This window comes from Homo sapiens, chromosome 3, assembly GCF_000001405.40.
Source record: "Homo sapiens chromosome 3, GRCh38.p14 Primary Assembly".
In the NCBI taxonomy this organism is placed as follows: Eukaryota; Metazoa; Chordata; class Mammalia; order Primates; family Hominidae; genus Homo; species Homo sapiens.
In genome coordinates this window covers 15,877,371-15,894,889 of record NC_000003.12, presented here as the reverse complement: position 1 = coordinate 15,894,889, position 17,519 = coordinate 15,877,371, and the positions used below count along the sequence as shown (strand labels likewise).

General features: G+C 43.0%; 1 long non-coding RNA gene and 1 pseudogene across 1 annotated transcript in view; both read right to left on the bottom strand.

The window, feature by feature from the left end:
- LOC107986064 (uncharacterized) overlaps positions 1–17,519 on the bottom strand; it is a 112,662-nt gene that overhangs the window by 77,886 nt on the left and 17,257 nt on the right. The gene's annotated exons all lie outside the window — the stretch shown is intronic.
- IMPDH1P8 (inosine monophosphate dehydrogenase 1 pseudogene 8) lies at positions 14,595–16,965 on the bottom strand (annotated as a pseudogene).

Below are 17,519 nucleotides of genomic sequence, written 5' to 3'. Positions count from 1 at the left end.
ATTAGTTTTCTGAGCTGTTTCTCCTTAGTATAGTCGCAGGTCATGAAATATGAACAGTCTCATGAGTCTTTTAAAAATATTAAAAAACCAAAGTGAATTTTAAGAGCACTAAAAAATAAGATAAAATAAAATACATTCACTTCAGTAACTCTCATAAACAGAGGCCAGACTCACAGTGACTATATCTATCCAAAACATATCTGAGTGCATGGGAGCCAGAAAAGGGCTCAAAACAAGGGGAGATAGTTGTCACAAAGCCCATGCATTAGAGCCCATCACCTGTAACCAAGCGAAAGGAGACATTGATGGCTTTAAGCCTATGTCTCATGCTCCATGCCTGGAGCTGAAACTGAAGGTGAGTGAAAAGGGTGGTGAAGAAGGAAATCCAGGTTCTGCTACCAAATCCTGAACCACCAAAAGCCAGTAAATGAAATGTACTCTGTTCGCCACCTCTGGAGAAAATATAACCCATTTTAGAAAAATTTCCCTTACACAACTAAAATGTTCAGGGTTTTGGCATTTACAAGGTAGCTTTCAGTTACCTGGAAAAATTATTTATGTAAAATCACCACTGCCAGACAGGTGTTTCTGTATTTTTACTCACCCTTCTGGAACAGCTTGAGGATTTGCTCCAGGAAAGCACTCATTTTGCCTGTACGCTGCTTTAGAAAATAACTTCACTAAACACGTTCGTCGTTCCATTAGTTATTTATAGTCGAGTTTTGATTATCCACTAGGCAGGTTCCTGGCTCAGTTTTCAGCCCTCTGTTTGCCTTTCTCACCTCCCACTGACACACACTTGCTGCAGCTTGTAGCAACTTAGAATTTCCCCTGAGTCACAGCTCCCCTTCCCCCAGTTCCAGCACAGCTGCTCCCCCATCCCCACCAAAAGATGTCTACAAACCAAAACAACATTTACCTATTGCTTCCCCAACCTTTCCCAAGAATGGTACAAGGTTGCCAGAAAGAACTCGGCAGTGGAATAAATAAGGCCACCACTGGGTATCAGGCAGAGAGCCCCAGAGCTCAGGTGTTCCTGCAGCCTGAATGTTGGGGAGGGGTCACCAGCCAGGGCAGGACAGGGATATTCAATAGCTTCCCATCTCTTTTCACAGTGTGGCATCATTTTGTTGTTTGAAGTGTTATGTATTCCTAGACATGTGACTCACCTTCCAGTCCTCAAGTTCCAGATGAGCACAAAAACACATTCCTGGCCAAGCACAGTGGCTCATGCCTGTAATCCCAGCACTTTGGGAGGCCGAGGCTGGCAGATTTCCCGAGGTCAGGAGTTCGAGACCAGCCTGACTAACATGGTGAAACCCCAACTCTACTAAAAATTCAAAAATTAGCCAGGCATGGTGGCCCACGCCTGTAATCCCAGCTACTCAGGAGGCTGAGTCAGGAGAATGGCTTGAACCTAGGAAGCGGAGGCTGCAGTGAGCCAAGATCATGCCACTGCACTCCAGCCTGGGTGACAGAGCAAGATTCCATCTCAAAAAAAAATACAATACAATAAATAAATGAAACACATTTCTAACTCCCATCAGAATTTTTTCCCCAACTTTTCTGCACTTTGAACATCAGTGAAAGTGGCACTAGCACTTTTTTGTGCTGTGGGATTTCTTCTAGGTCTCCTAATTCCACAGATATGGCAGTTTCTATGCTAGCTTATAGTGGTACTCAGCCTTGGAATTCTGATGCCTGCGCCTCAGCTCAGAGATTGTTTTTCTAGTCTGAGATGAAGCCTGAGCACTGGAATTTTGAAATGCTCCCTAAGTCATTGTAACATGTAGCCAATGTTGAGAACCACTGGCTTGGAACCTCACTTGGTTAATAATGACTGTAAGTATGACTCTTAACTTGGACAGCTGTGGCTCCACTGATTTAGAATAAATGTTTAAATAGGAAAGGGAGGAAATGTGCATACACATAGACCAATTCAGAAGTTATTGTGCATTGCCAAGGTCAACATTTCATTCACTCCTTCACTTAACAAATATTTATTGAGGGTTGCTACTAGGATGGGAGAATGCAAAAATGCATAATGAATTTACTGCCCTCAAGGATATACATTCCCTGGAAGAGCACTCAGACATGTTCTCTAGACTCCTACAGTCCCCCACAGGCACGGTCAACTCTAGCCCTTCCTTCTTCCTCATTCATCCCTAGTTAGTATCTCATAATTCCCCAACATTTGCATATAATTTTACTGAACATGCATAATCCTGATGCCTGTAGTCTCTGGTTGCTCTATAGAGTGCAACTGCTTGAATTATGACAGTTATCTCTGTTAATAAAGTTCACATTTTTCCTGCAGAGTTATAAATATATATGCAGCTTGCATATTCAAGAAAGCACGTGGGAGGAAATGCTGAGCTGTGGGGCCCTTCTAGAACAGAAGCCACTCCCTGGCACCTGCACATACATAACTATCCTGATACCCTCCAAAAAGGCTTGTCCTTGTGGCTTTCTTATACAAAGGATTTAGTCTAAGCAGTCCTGGTGAGAAAATCAGATATTAGCACCTTTGACATCTGCATTCTGTTTTTTGGGCCCCCAAATGGACTCACAGTCATCAGCTTTCCTTTTCCCAGGGAAAAACTGGTCCTGCAGTCTCTGAGGAAACTGAAATGGAATTAACTGGGATGTAAAGTGGCAGCCAAATGAGATCAGGAAGATCAGCAGCAGAGAGAAGGGATGGCTGATCTTGTAAACTTGAGTCACGCAAATAAATTCATTAAATCTAGGATCTGCTGGGGTGCTGGCAAGGCATATATAAAAGCAGCAGACCAATAAATCTGTTCTGTTATCTGAAGAAGAGCTAATAGAGGAATTTTCTAAAAGAAGCCTTTTTACAGAATACAATAATACCATAAATTATCAATCAGCTGACTTTAGTTTTACAGTTTAGCCTGAAACCTGAACAACTTGCAGGAGTTTGTACCTTGTGGGTAATAATAGGTATGCATGGTCAATGTAATACAGCATATTTCTTTCTTTCTTTTTTTTTTTTTTTTGAGATGGAGTCTTGCTCCGTCGCCAGGTGGAGTACAATGGCACAATCTTGGCTCACTGCAACCTCTACCTCCCGGGTTCAAGCAATTCTCCTGCCTCAGCCTCCCGAGTAGCTGGGATTACAGGCGCATGCCACCACACCCAGCTAATTTTTGTAATTTTAGTAGAGATGGGGTTTCACCATGTTGGCCAGGATGGTCTCAATCTATTGACCTCATGATCCACTCGCCTTGGCCTCCCAAAGTGCTAGGATTACAGGGGTGAGCCACCATGCCCAGCCATATACAGCATATTTCTTTAAACTATATAGCTAGCTACTTTGGTAACATATATATTTATTTACAAATAAAATGATGATTATATTGTTATATAGTATGCAGTAGGCTCTGCTGCTTGTTTAACCAACAGCTTTTTCTTTGTTTTCCTTACTAGTCAAGCCCTGAATTGGGTGGGTTTCAACCCTTCCCCATGTGACACAGGTGAGAGTGCCACACTCTACCTTCAGGATCAAAGGTAAATTGTGATGGGCCTAAGGTAATCCCAGTGGCCTGTTCCCCTTGCTGGGGCTGGTTTAGAGGTGAGTATGCTGAATTTTTCTGCTGCCAGCAAAGTACTACCACCAGGCGTCCTAGAATCACCATCTCTGTCTCGTTCCAGGTTATTACTCATGAGAACAGAGGCAAGATTTGGAAAGAGAAGGACATTATTCCTCTGGATATGGTTATAGCTGTATAGCAGGGCAAATGAGAAATTCCTAGTAGTTTCCTGGCACAAACTTCAGGAAATATTAATATGCACCTAGGTGTTCCAGGCTAAGATCTTTGAGGGTCAGCAACTCTGACATTCAAGAATAGAGCTTTTGAACCTTATCCTCATATTCTACTCTCTGAGCAGTAGTGTATGCCATTAATTCTATATAAAGAATTAGGGGCCCTTTTACATCCAGAATGCATAGAGTCATTTTAGTTTTTCATCCTGAACTCTGACTGCTACAGTGGCCACGTGGAGTGGAAATTGGCTGGAGGGCTTTGTCTTGGTCCATTTTGCATTGATATAAAGGAATACTCCAGCCCGAGTAAGAAAAAAAGGTTTATTTGGCTCATGATTCTGACAGCTGAAAAGTTCAAGATTGGGCATCTGCATCTGTTGAGGACCTCAAGCTCCTTCCACTCATGGTGGAAGGCAAAGGGGAACCAGTGTGTATAGAGATCACAAGGCAAGACACTAAGCAAAACTGATGTGTGTTGAGGGGCGTGCCAAGCTCTTTGTTTTAGAGATGGGTTCTCACTGTGTTGACCAGGATGGAGTGCAGTGGCTATTCACAGGTGCAATCATAGTGCACTATAGCCTCCAACTCCTGGGCTCAAATGATCTTCTTGCCTCAGCCTTCTGAGTAGTTCAGACTACAGGTACACCACAACACCCAGCTAACAACCAGCTCTCATGGGAACTAAGAGAGTGAGAACTCACTCACCCTTAAAGGACAGCATGATTCTATTCATGAGAGATCTGCTCCCATGACTCAAGCACCTCCCATTAGGCCCCACCTCCAACACTGGGGGTCAATTTTCAACATGAGGTTTGGAGTGGACAAATATCAAAACCATAGCAGGCTTCTCCTTACTCCTGAAGAGACTCTGGAAAAAAGACAGTCCCTAACACCATTGGGATGTAATACCTGGTACAGCTGTCATGATGAGCTGCCAGCCTGAAATTGAGCCAATATGCAAGTAGATAGCAGGGCCAAGAGAAATGACCAGCAAGAGGAGCTGGTGTCCTAAGGTACCTGCACCCAATGGCCTTCTAATTGGTACAGACTCATGACTCAAGGGAGCAAATGTTTAAGAGAGGTTGACATTAGCTGCCATGTTTTCCAAGGATGAGACATAATATGGTCATTCACACCTGTCCTCTCTCTCCAGACAAATGAATACCCAGATAATCTCTGTCTCAAATGTGTCATACACCACCGAATAGCTATGTGAGTTACTGGTATGCATTGACAGGTGTGTCTACAATATTATTGTACCTTTTATCATTTTCCAAACTCCCATTATACTTTAAAATACACTTACAATGCTAAAACATAAGTATGATTCCATCATTTTGAATTTCTTGTTTTACCCATAACCAGGCAGTCCTCACTTTGCATGATAGTGCAGAGTCATACAGATGACCATGCAAGGAGACACTGTGCAAAGCGATTTTAATAATCATAGGAAAAATTATAACTGGTCCAAAAAATTCTGGCCCAAACATTAAAAATTCTCTTACTTTCAGTTGTAATTGTATAGGGATATTTCTAAAATAGCAAAACTAACATTTATTTAATAGATTATGATTTAAAACATTAGAAACATTGATAATTAAAGTGCTTTGTAAAAATCTTGTCAAGAGTAGTTTGAATAGTGCCTACCTTCAGAGCATCTTTTCTATGCCTTGGCAAATTGTCATATCCTTTCTATATTTGTACTAGTGTCCAACATTTTATCCTTTGCACTTTCAATAACATGAAGTATCCTTGAGAGTTCCTTTAATGTGATGCTTTTGCCAGTGTTACTTCCTCTTGGACATCATCTTTTTTGTCACAACCACTAATACATGTTGATAAATTTGCCTTCTAATGCACACTTAAAAGTTTCTTGAATGGCAGCGGTGTCAATAGCATGTCCACTGTAGAAACACATACACTATAGACACACACACACACACACACACACATACAGCAGAGAGAGTGTGAGAAAGTAAAAGAGTAAGAGAGAGAATGAGAGAGAGAGAGAGAGCAAGAGAGAGAGAAAGAAGAGAGCATGTATGTGTGCACAGGAACTTGGGCTTTGGAGTCAGATCTGGGATAAAATATTGGCATTTAGAATTTCATATCCAATCAACATTCATTGTGTCCCCACTATAAAATGGTTGCTGGTCTTAAAAAGTAAAACAGTAACACAGTCATTGTTCTCCAACAGTAAATAATCTAGTGAGCTCACTACGTAATTCCCTCTAAATGTCTTTTTTAGAGACATTTTCCACACAATGGTGAGACAGGCACAGTCATTAGTAAAATAAAGAAAACCTCTATCCACCTAGGATGATGAATAAATAATAGAATGTATGCAAAATGCTCAGCAAAGTACTGGGCTCATATTAAGGGTTCCCTAAGCAATAACTGGTGGAAGTTTCTAGTTGTCCACTCACCATCCATTATTCCCTTCCTTCTCACTAACTTACTGTCATATTGGAGTTCTCAATATGCCTAGGTAAAGATTATACTTTCTAGGTTCTTTTGCAGCCATTTGTGGGCATTTGACTTAATTCTAGCCAATGAGATAAATTCTAGTCAATTCTCAATGGGAATTATTAAGAGGGACTTCTGGAAAGAATCCTGTATTCCTTTCTTATTGCTGTTGTAATGAATTGCCAAATTTATTGGCTTACTAAAACACAAATTTATTATTTTACAATTCTGGCGGTCAGAAGTTGTCTTAGCCCATTTGGGCTACTATAACAAAATACTTTAGTCTGGGAAACTTATAAACAACGGAAATTCATTGCTCATAGTTCTGGAGGCTAAGAAGTCCAAGATCAAGGCACCAGGTGATTCAGTATTTGGTGAGGCTCCATTCTTCATCAATAGTATCTTTTCACTGTGTTCTCACATGGTAGAAGGGGTGAGCAAGCTCCCTTGACTTCTAAGGGCACTAATCCCATTCATGAGGGCTAAGTCCTCATGACCTAATCACCTCCAAAAGTCCCCACCTCTTATTACTATCACATTGGGGATTAAGTTTCAACATACGAATTTTAGGGAAACACAAACATTCAGACTATAGCATTCCACCCCTGCCTCCCCACCCGATTCATGTTCTCTCAAATACAAAATACATTTTTTCATCCCAATAGCCCCAGAAGTTGTAAGTCATTCCAGCATCAACTCATAAGTCTAAAGTCCAGAGTCTCATCCAAATATGTAAATCAGAAATGAGTGAGATGCAAGGTACAGTTTATCCTGAGGCAAATTCCCCTCCAGCTGTGAGTCTGCGAAACCAAACAAGTTATGTGCTTCCAAAATACAATGGTGGGACAGGCACAGGATAGACATTCCCATTCTAAAAGGGAGAAATAGGGAGGAAGAAAGGGGTAACTGGTCCCAAGTTAGTCCAAAATCCAACATGGCAAATAATAAATCTTAAGGCTTGAAAAATACTCTTCTTTGACTTGATGTCTCACCTTCTAGAGACATGGGAGTGGGAGTTGGGTCCCCAAGGCTCCAAGTGGCCCTGTTCTCATGTATTTCCTGCTCAAGTGACAGACAGCTCTCATGGATTGGAGTCTGATGTATGAGGCTCTTCCAGGCTGGAGATGCACATTGGTGGCTCCAATTTCAAGAAGGATAGCCTTGAAATTGTTCTGCCCTCAAGGACCTGGTATTCTGGGCTTATGATGGGTAGGGCAGCCCCAAAGATCTCTGAAATGTTTTCAGGATCAGTCATCATTGTCTTGATGAACATCATCTGTCTTCCTTCTATCCATACCAATCTCCTTATCAAATGTTTGTTTGGCTACACCCTTGGTGTTTTCTCCTGAATACATTTTCTCATTTTTTTATAGAAAGAGAATTTTCCAAATCTTTAATTTTCGCTTCCTTTTTGATAGCAAATTCCATCTTAAAATTTTTTCCCTCTTCTTGCATTTACTATAAGCAGTCAAGAGAACCCATGCTGCACCCTCAGTACTTTGCTTAGATATTTCCTCTATTAAATATCTTATTTCATCATTCAGAAGTTCTACTTCCTACAAAACACTAGGACACATACAATTCAGCCAAGTTATTTGTCACTTCATAATTAAGGATTGCCTTTCCTGAAGTTTCCAATTATATATTCCTCATTTCTGTCTGAGCCCTCATCAGAATGGCCTTTATCAGCCATATTTCTACCAACAGTCTGATCATGAGCACTTAGGTAGCCTCTGAGAAAACTGAGGCTTTCTCTACAGCTCTCCTCATCTTCAGAGCCCCCACAAGAATCACCTTTTCAGTTTATTCATGGCTATATAGGCTTTCTCTAGCATGCTCTTCAAAACTCTTCCAGCCTCTACCTATTGCCCAGTTCCAAAGCCACTCCACATTTGTAGGTATTTGCTATAGCAACACCTCACTCCTGGTACCAAAATCAGTATTAGTCAGGGTTCTGCAGAGAAACAAAGCCAATAGGATGATGGATGGATGGATGGATGGATGGATGGATGGATGGATGGATGGATGGATGGGTGGATGGGTGGATGGATGGATAGATAGGTAGATAGGACAGATTTATTATGGGAATTGGCTCATGTGATTATGGAGGTTGAGATGATACATAGATAGATAAATAGATAGATAGAAGATTTATTATGGGAATTGGCTCATGTGATTATGGAGGTTGAGATGATAAATAGGTAGGTAGGTAGATAGATAGATAGATATAGGAGAAGAGATTTATTATGGGAATTGGCCCATGTGATTATGGAGGTTGAGATGATAGATAGGTAGTTAGGTAGATAGATAGACAGACAGATAGATAGATAGATAGATATAGGAGAAGAGATTTATTATGGGAATTGGCTCATGTGATTATGGAGGTTGAGATGTCCCATAATATGTCATCTGCAAGCTGGATACCCAGGGAAACTGGTGGTATAGTTCAATCCAAGTCAGAAGGCCTGAGAACCAGGGAAGCCAATGGTATAACTCTCAGTTTCAGGCAGAACACTTGAGAAACTGAGGAACCACTGGTACAATTCCTGGAGTCTGAAGGCCAGGGAATCTGGAGTTCTGATATCCAAGGGCAGGAGAAGATGAGTGTACCAGCTCCAGAAAAGAGAGTGAATTCACCCTTCCTCTGTCTTTTTGTTCGATTTGAGTCCTCAACAGATTGGATAGTGTCCACTCAAATTGGGTGAGGGCAGATCTGCCTTAATTAGTCTATTGATTCCAATGCTAATCTTTTCCAGAACTACCCTCACAGACATACGTAGAAATAATGCTTTGCCAACTAACTGGGTATTCCTTAACCCAGTCAAGTTGACAAAGTTGACACCTACAGTTAACCAACAGAGAAGTCTAAAATATCAGGGCTATATTCCTTCTATAACTTTAGGGAGAATTTGTTTTCTTGTCTTTTCAGCTTCTAAAGGCTGCCTGCATTACTTGGCTGCAGCCCCACATCACTCCAACTTCTGCTTCTGTCTTTACATCTTCTCTGACTCTTTCATGCCCCTCTCTGATAAGGGCCTTTATGATTATATTGGACCTACCCAAATAATGCAGGATAATCTCCCCATCTCAGGATCTCTAACTTAATCAAACCTGCAAAGTCCCTTTTGTCACTGATATGGTTTGGCTCTGTGTCCCCACCCAAATCTCATCTTAAATCATACTCCCATAATTCTCCAGGGTGGGAGATAATTGAATCATGGGGGTGGTTCCCCCATACTGTTCTCGTGGTAGTGAATAAGTCTCATGAGAACCGATGGTTTTATAAGGGGTTTCCGCTTTTGTGTCTTTCTAATTCTCTCTTGCCGCCACCATGTCAGAAGTGCCTTTCACCTTCTACAATGATTGTGAGGCCTCCCCAGCCACATGGAACTGTGAGTCCATTAAACCTTTTTCTTCCCAGCCTTGGGTATGTCTTTATTGGCAGTGTGAAAAAGGACTAATAAGTCATATAAGGTAACATATTTATAGGTTCTGGGAATTAGAATGGACATATTTGGGGTAGCCATTATTCAGCCTACCACAACTTCTTAGGACAGAACTGGATAAATCCTCTTGTCCTTCCTCTTTCTTCCTTCCCACAGCAAATGTACTTCCGCAGCCACATTTGCCCATAAGGTGACATACAAATGGAAGGTTGGCCATTCTACATACTTTAAAATGACAAAATGATAGAAGGGATCTGTGTTCTCAATGGCTTGAGAGTCACCATACAAGTCTGGGTTTGCCTTCCTCTGGAGTTACTTACATGTAAGAAAAATAAACTATCTTGTTTAAGCTACTGTTTGGGGGGCAATTTCTATTATTTGCAGCCAAAATAATCCTAACTGGTACAGGAATTATTATTACTATTATTGTGGTAAATTCCATACTCCTGTTGAGTTCAAAATCACAGATCGTAATAGAATTTAAACAGACCTGTGTAGAAACCTGTTTAGAGCTTGCTTCTGGAAAACCCAAAAAACATGTTATAGGAATTTTCCCATCCTATTGAGTCTAGACTTCCTAAAATGCCATTTTTCTTCCTCAGGTTCCCAAACTTTCCTCAGGTACACAAACCTTCTGGATTGGTTTTAGAACCTATCTACTCTCTGGGAAGTAGCAAGAAGGGAATAAGGACAGGGATTCACCAGAGGAAAGCCAGCTGGATGTTGAGAAAAGCAGTTTTGTTAGGTCACTATCATCCACACCAGCAAATCAATAGGGTCTCACAGGTCAACTGGCAGTAGCTTTCTAGAGCACTGTGTTAAAAAGTATTTTGAGGCTATGTCTAGGCTCAACACAAAAGAGCAACAGAAATTGATTTTCGATGTCTACTGTAGTTAAGGGAGAAGAGAGTGAGCATGTGTGCTCTGCACAGGCTATTCCTGGACTAGAGTCCTGCTCTCAGTTGTCAGGGTCAGATATTCAAGTTTGCCAGCATATCAAAAGGTATTTGATCTCTCAGGGATAAAATCTATCAACCAAATTAATAAGACACTGGCTTATAAATCAGAAGGTCAGTTTATTTATCTGAATTAGAAATAAAACTATAAATGTGCACCTGTTATTAAGTGGAAATCTGCATGGTGTAGGAAAGAAATGCAGTCTCTGGAGTCAAACAGACCTAGTTTTGTATCATGACTGCATCCCTCAATAGCTACATAGCTTCTTAGAGCAGAGATGATAAGGACATTGATGCTGTGTCTGAGATCTGTAGAAAAAAAGGCCTGATTATGGATAACCCATTTACCATGTGATTATTACACATTGCATGCCAGTACCAAAGCATCTCATATACTCCATAAATATATACACCTTCTATATACTCACAAAATTAAAAAAATAAAAATAAAAAATGTCCTGATTAACTATGTCTGACCTAGTGAAGGTAGGAGAAGTGGGAGTGGCTATTGTTGGTACGTATTAGTATATGTTCTAGTTTTTACCAATCAATTCATGCTCCCGTGATGGAAAGTCTAATTTCTAGGATTGAAAAACTGCTTTGTGAACATGGATATAAAAGATGTTTGCTATATAATTTTTATGGCTCATATTACTGAGTTATCTTCACAATATAAATACAAATGACACAGAAATAAGAAATGATGATTTGTGGTTCTGAACACCCACTGCCCTGTTCAGACCTGGAGGAAAAATGGTCAGTTTTTTTCTCCTACCCACCCTCCATTTTATATGTGCCTTACAGATCAGTGTGAAAAGAAATATAATACAGGTCACGAATGTGAGCTACATAGGTTACATTTTCTAGTAGCCACATTTTAAAAAGTTAAAAGAAATAGACACAAGTTTTTGCAAAAATTGTATCATACAGATTTTTTTTTTTTTTTTTTTTTTGAGACGGAGTCTGGTTCCGTCTCCCAGGCTGGAGTGCAGTAGGGCGATCTCGGCTCACTGCAACCTCCACCTCCCCGATTCACGGGACTCTCCTGTCTCAGCCTCCTGAGTAGCTGGGACTACAGTCACGCACCATGCCTGGATAATTTCTGTATTTTGAGTAGGAACGGTTTCACCTTCTTAGCCAGGCTGGTCTCAAAACTCCTGACCTCAGGTGATCTGCCCACCCTGGCCTCCCAAAGTGCTAGGATTACAGGCATGAGCCACTGTGCCCGCCACCACGCCTGGCCTCATACAGCTTTATTATCCATTATCCCTAATCTAGGTATTCTCACTCTCAGAGAATAACTTTTATACTTAGCTATTGGCCTTGGATTTCTTGGGTTAAGGATTGGTATCTCAGAGAAGGATACTGGAGACCTCCATAAGTCTCTAGTCTGCACTTGCTCCTGAGTGGCAGACAGCAGCTATCCAGTTTAGTGTTTGCGGTTCTCTCTGTGAAGCACTGGTTTCTCCACAACGACTGTTCTGCCAGGCCTCCAGCCAAGCTAAACTTTTTTTTTTTTAACCTTAGATGCTCTCAAAATTTCCTCTGTAATCAGCCTTTTTTTTTTTAAACTTGGCTAAAGGACAGGCTTCTTTCTCCTTCTTTAAACTAAATTTATGGAACAATTACTAGTTTTCTCTAAACCAGTGATTCTCTAACATGAGCAAGTATTAACATTACCTGGAAGGCTTATTAAAACATAGGTCACTGGTTCAGCTCCACAGTTGCAGAATCAGTAGGTCTGGAGTGGAGCTTGAGCAGTTGCATTAGCCAGTTTCCTGGGAATGGTGATGCTGCTGATCCAGGGATCACACTTTGAGAACCACTGATATAGGTCATTCATTTTGGTTCAGAGAAGAGATAACAGGTATTTGAAAATGAAAGAAGTTTGTAACCTAAAAAGCATCAGATTACATCTTCCCTCCAAAATAAGCTATACCCAGTCTGCTGGTATTCTTTCCCCAGAATCAGCATCTTAACAGGCTCTAACATCCCCTTTCAAGATTTCTCCTCCCATCTCCTGCTAGGGGAAGAGCAACCAGGCCCTTTCTATGTCCTTTCAAAGACCTCAATTATAGCCCTGTTATTCCATGGTACTGTAAGCATCTGGGCTTGCATGTTGACAGTTGTGTGCTGCAGGGCTGCAGACTCCTGTTAGCTCGCAGCACCATTTCCTAATACCAGCAGCTCTAAAAGTAGTCACTCAAAAAACAAGTCTTAAGGCTGGGCATGGTGTCTCACGCCTATAATTCTAGCACTTTGGAGGCCAAAACAGAAGGATGGTTTGAGCCTAGGAGTTTGAGACCAGCCTGGGTAACATAGTGAGACCCTGTCTCTACAAAAACATAATAAAATTAGCTGGACATGGTGGCACATGTCTGTAGTCCTAGCTACTTGGAAGGCTGAGGTGCAAGGACTACTTGAGCCAAGAAGCTGGAAGGTCAAGGCTGCAGTGAGCTGTGACTGTGCCACTGCACTCCAACCTGGGTGACAGAGTGAGACCCTGTCTCAAAAAAAAAAAAAAAAGAAGAACATGTTGATTGAGTGAATGAATGATGATACATGTTTGGAAGAGGAGAAAGACTATTCATGGTAATTAAAACTGTAAAACTTTTACTAAGAGACAAAAGTGACACTGGAATTTTTTTTTTTTTAAAAGCCCAAAACAAAGCAAAATAACAAAAACGCTTTGTCTTCTGAAAATTCATTATAACTTCAAAATCACTGACATGATGTCAATCACAGACAGTTCCAAATACTCATCGTGGTTTTACAGATATAACTTCCATTTTATATAGATGGGGTTTACTTGGAGTAATAGATGTACGGTATGATACTGTGAAGAAAATGAATTCAGTGCCCTTAAAATGCTGGGTCTCAGAGGCTTTCCTTTTTACTTTAACTTTTCGTTTTGAAAAATTTCAAATACACTTGGCCCTCTGTATCCATGGGTTCTGCTTTTGTGTAGATTCAACCATGAATGGAAAATATTTGATCCTAATACAAAGAAATAACAAATGTTTGAGGTGATGGATATGCTAATTATCCTGATTTGATCATTACACATTGTATACATGTATCAAAATATCACACTGTATCCCATAAATATGTATGATTCTTGTGTGTCAATTAAAATAATAAAAACAAAAAAATGGAAACTTTTTAAAATATTCAAAAAACAATAAAAATAATATAACAAAAACAATACAAATTAAAAAACAATGCAGTATAACAACTACCTATATAGCATTTACATTGTATAAGGTATTATAAGTAATCTAGAGATAATTGAGTATACCAGAGGATGTGCATAGGTTAAATAATACTAGTTTATATAAGAGACTTGAGCATCCACAAATTATGGTATCAGCAGGGGGTCCTGGAACCAATCCCCCATGGATACCAAGGGATGACTCTATATACAAAAGTAAAGAAGACAATAGAATGAACTTTAATGAACCAATCATCCAGATTCATTAATTACCAACTCACGGCCAATCCTGTTTTATCCGTAACTTCACTAATTCATCTAATTATTTTTTAGCAATTCCTAGTGTAATATCATTTCATCCATTAAAAACTTCAGTGTGTGTCTAATATATAAAGCTTCTTTTAAAAATATAACCATACTATCATTATCATACCTAAATAATAATTCCTTAATAGCATTGTATGTCTAACCAGTGTTTAAATTTCCCTGTCTCAAACTTTTTCAGTTTATTTATTCAAATTGGAAAACAAATTGGTTCATAAATTGCAATTGGTTAGAATGCCCCTTAAGTTCCTCTTTTTAATCACAAGGTTCCCATTCCATCCCTTTTTGTTTTCTTTAAATTTTACTTGTAGGAGAAACTAGGTTATTTGTGCTATAGTTTCCCACAGTCTAGAGTTCTAGAGCTTTTGTTTTCTGTTTGTTTGTTTGTTTGTTTGTTTTTGTTTTTGGTAGAGGCGTTGAGACCTGCTTGATTTATTCCAATTATTTAATACACAATGACACAACTGTGATCCCAAAGTATGCAAAGTTAAAGCCTTCAACAGCGGCTGAGGAGAAGGCAGGAATGGTACACCTGGGGATGGTGGTGAGTCAGGAATGACAGGCAGGTGGCCATGACCAGGGCAGCCTCCTCCCCAGGGCCAGGGACAGGGGAGCTGCCTGAGGAGCAGGACCCAAGGGTAGCCCAGGGCCAGGGAAGGGGGCAGAGACCACTCCTTGGTCTAGGTCAGGAGCTAAGAAGTGCCACATGGCTGAGGGGGCAGCGGCCCGGGAAGGGCCAGAGGCAGGGCCAGGAGAGCACCATTTCCTGGGGGGCTGGGGGCAGGGAGGTGCTCTACAGGAGAAGCCAGGAGGGGCTGCCTGCCCCCCAGGGTGGGGGCCGGGCTGGAGCAGGCTGCAGCAAGAAAGACCTGAGGCAGGCACCTGAGACCCTGGCTGGCTGGGCTCAGGGGGCTCCCAGGGCAGCCTGGCCCAGGGAAAAGTCCTGACTGCAGGGGATGCTGAGCGAGGGGCTGCAGACCCCTCAGGACCTCCCCTCCTCTCTCGCTGGAAAGGAGCTGGGGAACCTGTAGTGCAAATCTGTGGACCACTCAGTTATGGAGGGAGGCAGTGCCCGAAGGTGGACACTGGGGTGCACCCCCTCCACCACCTCGACCTCCACCGCTGTCCTTAGTACAGCCGCTTCTCCTAAGAATGCAGGCCGTGGACGCCACCCTTGATCTGGGCCAATATGGTCCACTTCTCAAACTTGAGCTCCCCTGAGTACATCATGGACCAAAGGGCAGACAGGCTGTGGGCCCTGCTATCCTGGCAGCCTTGCTGGATGTCCACTATGAGGTAGGACACGAAGTTTTGAATGGACCCTTTGTCCTGGATGGAGTTTGAGACATCCTGCGCGATCTTCACCTTATCCCCCTCGCCGAAGTATCGTTTCTGGCTGCTGCTGCTCTTCCCCATGGCATCCAGCGAGCCCATGCCACGGTACTTCTTGAGCCACACCCCATCTGAGAAGAAGTACTCACCGGGGGCCTCCATGGTGGCAGCCAACAGGGAGCCCGTCATCACTGTGGAGGCTCCAAGGGCCAGGGCCTTGACCATGTGCTCCACGATCTGGATGCCACCATTGAATATGATGGGCACACCAAAGTGCCAGGCATACTCGGCCACCTTGTACATAGCAGTGCCCTGGGGCCGACCACAGGCCATCACTTCCTGGGTGATGCAGATAGAGCCACAGCCCGTGCCCACTAGCAGCCCATCCACACCAGCGTCAGGTTCTTGGCCTGGGCTGCTGTCACCATGTTCCCCCCAGTCACCTGGAGGTGGGGGTACTTTTGTTTGATGTAATGCACCATGGTGATCTGATGTGCCGAGTTCCCTGGGACGAGTCCAAGACTATACGTTGAGACCCGCCTGGAAGAGCAGGTCCAGGCAGTATTTGTCATCCTCACGGGTGCCCACAGCTGCCCTGCACAGCAGCTGCTTGTGGGAATCCTTGGAGGCCAGAGGGTAGTCTCTGTTCTTCTTCAGGTCGGAGTGGGTGATGATGGCCACCAGTTAATCGCGATCATTGACGATAGGCAGCTTCCCTTTCTCGCTACACTTAGGATCTCTTTTGCCTCTTTCAACGTCACACCTGCTGGAGCCACCACCAGCTCAATCCTTGGCGTCATCACCTCACTGAGGAGGGTGGTGTTGTCCTTCTCAGCAAGAAAGTCAGTGTCTCGGGAGGTGACGATGCCCACCAGCTTGGTGCCCGTCTAGTGATGGGGATGCCAGAGAAGCCATGCCGCATCTTGGCCTCCAGCACATCACCCACAGTGCGCGAGGGGCTCAGCACCACGGGGTCCGTGATGAAGCCCTGTTCAAACTTCTTGATCTTCTGTACCTCCTTGGCCTGGAACTCTGCGGTACAGTTGTGGTGAATGAAACCAATAGGTCCCATCAGAGCCATCGCGATGGCCATGTCAGCCTCTGTCACAGTGTCCATAGGGGAGGAGATCAGCGGCGTCTTCAGCGTGACCTTCTGGGTCAGGGCTGAGGTCAGGTCCACCTCATCAGCTATGAAGTCTATGAATCCTGGAAGAATCAGGAAGTCGTTGTGGGTGAGGCCGTCAGCGCCGACGAAGAGCTGGGGCACAGTGAGCCCATCCCTGGGCACGTAGCCGGTGCTGCTGGTGATCAGGTAGTCCGCCATGCTGCTGCCAGACCCCGAGACCCGACAAAAACACCCACGCGGCCGCCCGCTGCTGCTACTGCTGCTGATGCTGATGCTGCACCGCGGCCACGCTGCTGCCGCGGGCTGGGCAGGCCAGGGGCGGGGACAGTCTAGAGTTTTAAGATTATATTTCTGTGTTATCATTTACCCCATCCACTCCCTCCCCTTAAGGTAATAACTTCTTTTAAAGCTTTTTTTTTGTTTGTTTTTTGTTTTTGAGACAGAGTCTCGCGGTCACACAGTCTGGAGTGCAATGGTACAATCTCAGCTCACTGCAACTTCCACCTCCCGCGTTCAAGCGATTCTCCTTACCTCAGCCTGCCAAGTAGCTAGGATTACAGGCGCCCGCCACCACGCCTGGCTAATTTTTGTATTTTTAGTGGAGATGGGGTTTCACCATGTTGGCCAGGCTGGTCTCAAACTCCTGACCTCAGGTGATCCATCCGCCTCAGCCTCCCAAAGTGCTGGGATTACAGGTGTGGGTCACCACGCCCGGCCTAAAGTTTTTATATTTTATCTTTTCTTTAAAAAATAAGTTACACGGCCGGGTACGGTAGCTCACGTCTGTAATCACAGCACTTTGGGAGGCTGAGGCGGGCGGGTCACGCTATCAGGAAATCGAGACCATCCTGGCCAACATGGTGAAACCCCGTCT